Genomic DNA, 7,146 nt, shown 5'->3' with positions numbered 1-7,146 from the left:
TGAGTGCGGTGAGGAAGGCTGGCCGACTGAAACAGGCGACGATCAGAACATCCCAGTGATGCCAGAGAGAGAGTTGTTTCCAAACACCAGTTCACTTCGGTCTACTTTCACCTACTGTAGTAGCTGAAATCTACACAACACAGCAAACACACCTTGAAAAGAAACTTAGTTTATAATCCCTGTTGGCTCCCGTCTTCCCCCAGGCAATCGGAGGATCGTGTGGTTTACTTCCAGCCAGCTGCCCCGTGGTCCTCCAGCCAGCTCCGGGGGCCACAGTTTTCACACGCTCCGGGAGCGATCCGAGAGCCGCCTTTTCGTGGAAAGTTACGCTGCCGCCTGGCAACCCCCGGGAACGTCGGGAGGGGCAAGTTGCTGCTCATCCCTCAGTGCTCAAGGTAAGAAAAAGATTCTTCGGCCTGCAGGCAGGGAGTTCTCAACCGGAAGTTTCGCCTTCGGGCTGGAGCGTTTCCTGTTTGGTAACTAAGGACGCGGGAAGGTTGCTAGGGCTCCCCCGGCAATTGCCGCGGCACTGTGCAGGTGCCTGGGCTTGACGCGGGTGCTGCTCACCCGCTGTACAAGAAGGCGGATCTTTGCTCTGTATCTTCTCTATCCGTTTGCAGTCATGAGTAGCGAATTCCTGGCTGAGCTGCACTGGGAGGATGGGTTCGCCATCCCGGTGGCGAACGAGGAGAACAAGCTACTGGAAGATCAGGTGAGATCAATTGAAGCAGGCGGGAGGAAGCAGAGAGAGCCTGTTGGGGGCGTTTTCTGGTTGGCAGTACTACCCCAGCCCTTTTATTTCTCTCCTTTCCTAATCCTGTGCTTCCTCTAACACTCCCCCGCACCATCGCCCTCCTCCCTTACCCTCTCTGCCTATTTCAGTAATTGTTAAGCATTTAAAAATGCTATTAAAACCATAATTGACATTTAGGGTTATAAAGCTCGAATTATTACTCCCTTCCTCATGCCCACTCCTCTTACTTATTTCGTTCCTCCTGGCGAGAGAGGAAAGGCTGGTTCCGGCGCCCGCTTTTTCCTTGCTCAAAAATTAAAGAGCTACTTGGAAAAGAATTTCTGAGGTTTGCATAGCAACGGTTATTTGCGCACGTTTATAAATTAAACTCCAGAAGGTTCATATTTCTTTGTGAGTTTTTGTCTGTAATGTTTAAAGCTGAAAGTGACTTGAGATGTTTTCAAGAGGAACAGCCCGGTAAGAATGAAATGTGCGGTTTACAGTTTTTCAAAGAGAAGATTGAGTTGTCACAGATTAACATAAGAAATTTTACGTTGCAAGGACGAACTTACACTAACTACAATTCATAGCAGTTGTTAAAAAAAAAAAAATTGCAGGCCGGGCGCAGTGGCTCACACCTGTAATCCCAGCACTTTGGGAGGCTGAGGCGGAGGAACCCTAAAAGCCAGGAGTAAAACAAGCTTGAACAACAAAGCGAGACCCCCCACAAACCCCTCCCACCGCGTCTCTACGAAAAAATAAAAAAATAAAAAATTGCAACCGGGTCAGCAAATTTTGAAAAACTTTGGTGGTGATATGTTGTGTAGAAGAAGGTCCAAGAATAACAGATGATGCTTACACAACTTTGTAAAACGGAACAGAAAGTTTTCTCAGCTCTAAAAAAGGAAAATGAAAATCCTGTTACTCTACCTTTTGAAAACAATGGAAATGCTTTTTAACACGTTCTGACCTATTTACTCATGTGTAATTTAGAAGACTGCAATTTTTCCCCAAAGGAGGGCAATATTAGGAAATGTAAGGGATCTAGCACTGAGTACCGAGGAATTAATACTAAGTATCCAGCCCTGGGTTCAGATCCTACTTACCAACCCTAATCCTGCTTCTTTTTTTGTAAAGCGGAGATGGAGATGAACAAACTAATTACTTCGCGGGCTCTAGGGACATAATATGGGTTAAGGTTCCATCCAAATTTTAGGTTTTAGTATTCTTGCCATAATATGTGTCACACAGGATTTTTATGTACATATTAAGTATATTAGCTCTTTTAAAAAAGTATAGAGCCATATAAAGAAGAAAAATGAGCACCACAATTGCATTAAATTAAATTGCTTTTTAAACTCTGACATTTAAAAAGCAACTCCTGTAAATTTAAGATATTCAAACAGAATAGAAGGGTATGAGATAAAAACATAAGGTATTTCCTCTCCAAAGTGTCCACTGTACTGTAGAAATGATTACCATGGCATTAAACACACATTTCAGACATCTTGGTATACAGATATACAGAAAGAAGAGAAAAATGAGTATTATAATGGAATTATATATATGCGGTATTTAACACAAAATATTTATTTTAGTATTTGAGAGAAGAAAAAGCAGTTGTTGAATTTCAGGTAAATATTACTTGATCACAAGAGGTGCTGATTGCTAAAAAAATTCCTCTAAGTTAAGAAAAAATTAAATGGTTAATGTTTCTAAGAACTCTATATTTCAAATATAGATTACTGAATGTCTCTGATTTTAAAGAATAAGTTAGCACTCTTACACATTTTCCCACCTCCTTTTCCCCTATTAAAAATAATGGTTTTATCATTTTTAATATTATCAAGTTTTATTTGCATTTGATTCAATGCCCTTAATTTATCACAAGTGTTTAGTGTTAGTTTTATACTTGATTTGCTTTAATGGTCCTTACCGCAGTCACTTTTATTCAGTTTATCTTTCTTGAACTTTTCATTTTGATTTGTCTTTTGGCTGGCTGGATTTTATCCTCAAATGATTGTTGCAAGAAGGGCCCATAGTACTGTGATTTTATATATATATATATATATATATATATATATATATATATATATATATAAAATTATTATTATTATTATTATTATAATACTTTAAGTTTTAGGGTACATGTGCACAACGTGCAGGTTTGTTACATATGTATACATGTGCCATGTTGGTGTGCTGCACCCATTAACTCATCATTTACATTAGGTATATCTCCTAATGCTATCCCTCCCCGCTGCCCACACCCCACAACAGGCCCCAGTGTGTGATGTTCCCCTTCCTGTATCCAAGTGTTCGCATTGTTCAATTCCCACCTATGAGTGAGAACATGCAGTGTTTGGTTTTGGTTTTTGTCCTTGCAATAGTTTGCTAAGAATGATAGTTTCCAGCTCCATCCATGTCCCTACAAAGGACATGAACTCATCATTTTTTATGGCTGCATAGTATTCCATGGTGTATATGTGCCACATTTTCTTAATCCAGTCTATCATTGTTGGACATTTGGGTTGGTTCCAAGTCTTTGCTGTTGTGAATAGTGCTGCAATAAACATACGTGTGCATGTGTCTATAGCAGCATGATTTATATTCCTTTGGGTATATACCCAGTAATGGGATGGCTGGGTCAAATGGTATTTCTAGTTCTAGATCCTTCAGGAATCGCCACACTGTCTTCCACAATGGTTGAACTAGTTTACAGTCCCACCAACAGTGTAAAAGTGTTCCTATTTCTCCACATCCTTTCCAGCACCTGTTGTTTCCTGACTTTTTAATGATCGCCATTCTAACTGGTGTGAGATGATATCTCATTGTGGTTTTGATTTGCATTTCTCTGATGGCCAGTGATGATGAGCATTTTTTCATGTCTGTTGGCTGCATAAATGTCTTCTTTTGAGAAGTGTCAGTTCATATCCTTTGCCCACTTTTTGATGGGGTTGTTTGTTTTTCTCTTGTAAATTTGTTTGAGTTCTTTGTAGATTCTGGATATTAGCCCTTTGTCAGATGAGTAGATTGCAAAAATTTTCTCCCATTCTGTAGTTTGCCTGTTCATTCTGATGGTAGTTTCTTTTGCTGTGCAGAAGCTCTTTAGTTTAATGAGATCCCATTTGTCAATTTTGGCTTTTGTTGCCATTGCTTTTGGTGTTTTAGACATGAAGTCCTTGCCCATGCCTATGTCCTGAATGGTATTGCCTAGGTTTTCTTCTAGGGTTTTTATGGTTTTAGGTCTAACATTTAAGTCTTTAATCCATATTGAATTAATTTTTGTATAAGGTGTAAGGAAGGAATCCAGTTTCAGCTTTCTACATATGGCTAGCAGGTTTTCCCAGCACATTTATTAAATAGGGAATCCCTTCCCCATTTCTTGTTTTTGTCAGGTTTGTCAAAGATCAGATGGTTGTAGATGTGTGGTATTATTTCTGAGGGCTCTATTCTGTTCCATTGGTCTATATCTCTGTTTTGGTACCAGTACCATGCTGTTTTGGTTACTGTAGCCTTGTAGTATAGTTTGAAGTCAGGTAGCGTGATGCCTCCAGCTTTGTTTTTTTGGCTTCAATGAGAACAAAGACACAACATACCAGAATCTCTGGGACACATTTAAAGCAGTGTGTAGAGGGAAATTTATAGCACTAAATGCCCACAAGAGAAAGCAGGAAAGATCTAAAATTGACACCCTAACATCACAATTAGAAGAACTAGAGAAGCAAGAGCAAACACAGTCAAAAGCTAGCAGAAGGCAAGAAATAATTAAGATCAGAGCAGAACTGAAGGAGATAGAGACACAAAAAACCCTTCAAAAAATCAATGAATCCAGGAGCTGGTTTTTTGAAACGATCAACAAAATTGATAGACCGCTAGCAAGACTAATAAAGAAGAAAAGAGAGAACAATCAAATAGATGTAATAAAAAATGATAAAGAGGATATCACCACCGATCCCATGGAAATATAAACTACCATCAGAAAATACCATAAACACCTCTATGCAAGTAAACTAGAAAATCTAGAAGAAATGGATACATTCCTGGACACATACACCCTCCCAAGACTAAACCAGGAAGAAGTTGAATCTCTGAATAGACCAATAACAGGCTCTGAAATTGAGGCAATAATTAATAGCTTACCAACCAAAAAAAGTCCAGGACCAGATGTATTCACAGCCAAATTTTACCAGAGGTACAAGGAGGAGCTGGTACCATTCCTTCTGAAACTATTCCAATCAATAGAAAAAGAGGGAATTCTCCCTAACTCATTCTATGAGGCCAGCATCATCCTGATACCAAAGCCTGGCAGAGATACAACAAAAAAAGAGAATTTTTAGTCCAATATCCCTGATGAACATCGATGCAAAAATCCTCCATAAAATACTGGCAAACCGAATCCAGCAGCATATCGAAAAGCTTATCCACGATGATCAAGTGGGCTTCATCCCTGGGATGCAAGGCTGGTTCAACATATGCAAATCAATAAACGTAATCCAGCATATAAACAGAACCAAAGACAAAAACCACATGATTATCTCAATAGATGCAGAAAAGGCCTTCAACAAAATTCAACAGCCATTCATGCTAAAAATTCTCAATAAATTAGGTATTGATGGGCCGTATCTCAAAATAATAAGAGCTATTTATGACAAACCCACAGCTAATATCATACTGAATGGGCAAAAACTGGAAGCATTCCCTTTGAAAACTGGCACAAGACAGGGATGCCCTCTCTCACCACTCCTATTCAACATAGTGTTGGAAGTTCTGGCCAAGGCAATCAGGCAGGATAAAGAAATAAAGGGTATTCAATTAGGAAAAGAGGAAGTCAAATTGTCCCTGTTTGCAGATGACATGATTGTATATCTAGAAAACCCCATCGTCTCAGCCCAAAATCTCCTTAAGCTGATAAGCAACTTCAGCAAAGTCTCAGGATACAAAATCAATGTGCAAAAATCACAGGCATTCTTATACACCAATAACAGACAAACAGAGAGCCAAATCATGAGTGAACTCCCATTCACAATTGCTTCAAAGAGAATAAAATATCTAGGAATCCAACTTACAAGGGATGTGAAAGACCTCTTCAAGGAGAACTACAAACCACTGCTCAACAAAATAAAAGAGGACACAAACAAATGGAAGAACATTCCATGCTCATGAATAGGAAGAATCAATATCGTGAAAATGGCCATACTGCACAAGGTAATTTACAGATTCAATGCCATCCCCATGAAGCTACCAATGACTTTCTTCACAGAACTGGAAAAAACTACTTTAAAATTTATATGGAACCAAGAAAGAGCCTGCATTGCCAAGTACTGTCATTTTAATTTCTTGCATCCTAGATTGCCAGTCTACTTCCTTGCATTGCCTGCTTTAAGTTTATACATCTTAAAGCATCAGCTCTTCAAGGTACTCTTCTATTCCTTCTGCCCCCTACTTCCCACCCACTTCCTTCTGGAGTGCTGTATTTTCCAATATGTACAGATTTTCCCACAGGCCTGTTTTACAACTGTTACCTTGGAAATTCTCTTTATTCCTCTGCTGAGCTGAGGCTGTATTTCCTAGATCACATACCTTCGTTTTTCTTGTGTAGGCTTACCTTCAAGATATTGTGAGTTCAGTTCCAGACCACTGCAACAAAATGAACGTTGCAATAAAGCAAGTCACACAGTGCATGTAAAAGTTATGTTTACTTTTACTTCAGTCTATTAGGTGTTCAATAAAAAATTCAAAACGTGTGCATACCTTAATTGAAAATACTTTATTGTTAAAAAAAATACTAACAAGCATCTGAGCCTTCAGTGAGTTGTAACCATTTTGCTGGTGGAGAGTCTTGTTTTGATGTTGATGTTTGCTGACTGATCAAGGTGGTGGCTGAAGGTTCAAGTGGCTGTGCCAATTTTTAAAAATAAGAGAACAATGAACTTTGCCGCATCAACAGATTCTTCCTTTCATGAAAGATTTTTCTGTAGCATGCAATAATGTTTGATAACATTGTATGCACAGTAGAACTTTCAAAGGTGGAGTCAATTCTCCAATACCCTGCTGCTGCTTTATCAAATAAGCTTATGTAATATTCTAAATTCCTTGTAATTTCAACAATGTTCACAGCATCTTCACTAGGAGTAGATACTATCTCAAGGAACTGCTTTCTTTGCTCATCTGTAAGAGACAACTCCTCATCTGTTCAAGTTTGTTAATAAAATTGCAGCAATTCAGTCACATCTTCAGGCTCCCCTTTTGATTCTAGTTCTCTAGCTATTTCTACCTTATCTGCAGTTACTTCCTCCACTGAAGTCTTGAACCTCTCAAACTCATCCATAAGGGCTGGAATATTCTTCTTCTAAACTCCTATTAATACCAATATTTGGTCTTCTCTTATGAATCATGAATGTTCTTAATGG

General features: G+C 39.0%; 1 protein-coding gene across 1 annotated transcript in view, besides 2 other annotated features; it reads left to right on the top strand.

Annotated features, from left to right (window-relative positions):
• Nucleotides 13-62: an enhancer, noted in NCBI's record as "active region_20877". NCBI's record gives its function as "activates an Ori minimal core promoter by ATAC-STARR-seq in GM12878 lymphoblastoid cells {active_cell/tissue: GM12878}" and the evidence as "EXISTENCE:reporter gene assay evidence [ECO:0000049][PMID:35858748]".
• Nucleotides 143-242: an enhancer, noted in NCBI's record as "active region_20876". NCBI's record gives its function as "activates an Ori minimal core promoter by ATAC-STARR-seq in GM12878 lymphoblastoid cells {active_cell/tissue: GM12878}" and the evidence as "EXISTENCE:reporter gene assay evidence [ECO:0000049][PMID:35858748]".
• CCDC39 (coiled-coil domain 39 molecular ruler complex subunit) overlaps nt 514-7,146 on the top strand; it is a 65,482-nt gene continuing 58,849 nt past the window's right edge. The window contains exon 1 of the mRNA NM_181426.2: nt 514-712. Coding sequence (NP_852091.1) covers nt 623-712 — 90 coding nt within the window. The 5' untranslated portion in view covers nt 514-622. The remainder of the gene's footprint in view (nt 713-7,146) is intronic.

Source organism: Homo sapiens, chromosome 3 (genome assembly GCF_000001405.40).
Source record: "Homo sapiens chromosome 3, GRCh38.p14 Primary Assembly".
In the NCBI taxonomy this organism is placed as follows: domain Eukaryota; kingdom Metazoa; phylum Chordata; class Mammalia; order Primates; family Hominidae; genus Homo; species Homo sapiens.
Note: the sequence above shows the minus strand (reverse complement) of the source record. Positions and strands in the feature narration are given on the sequence as shown.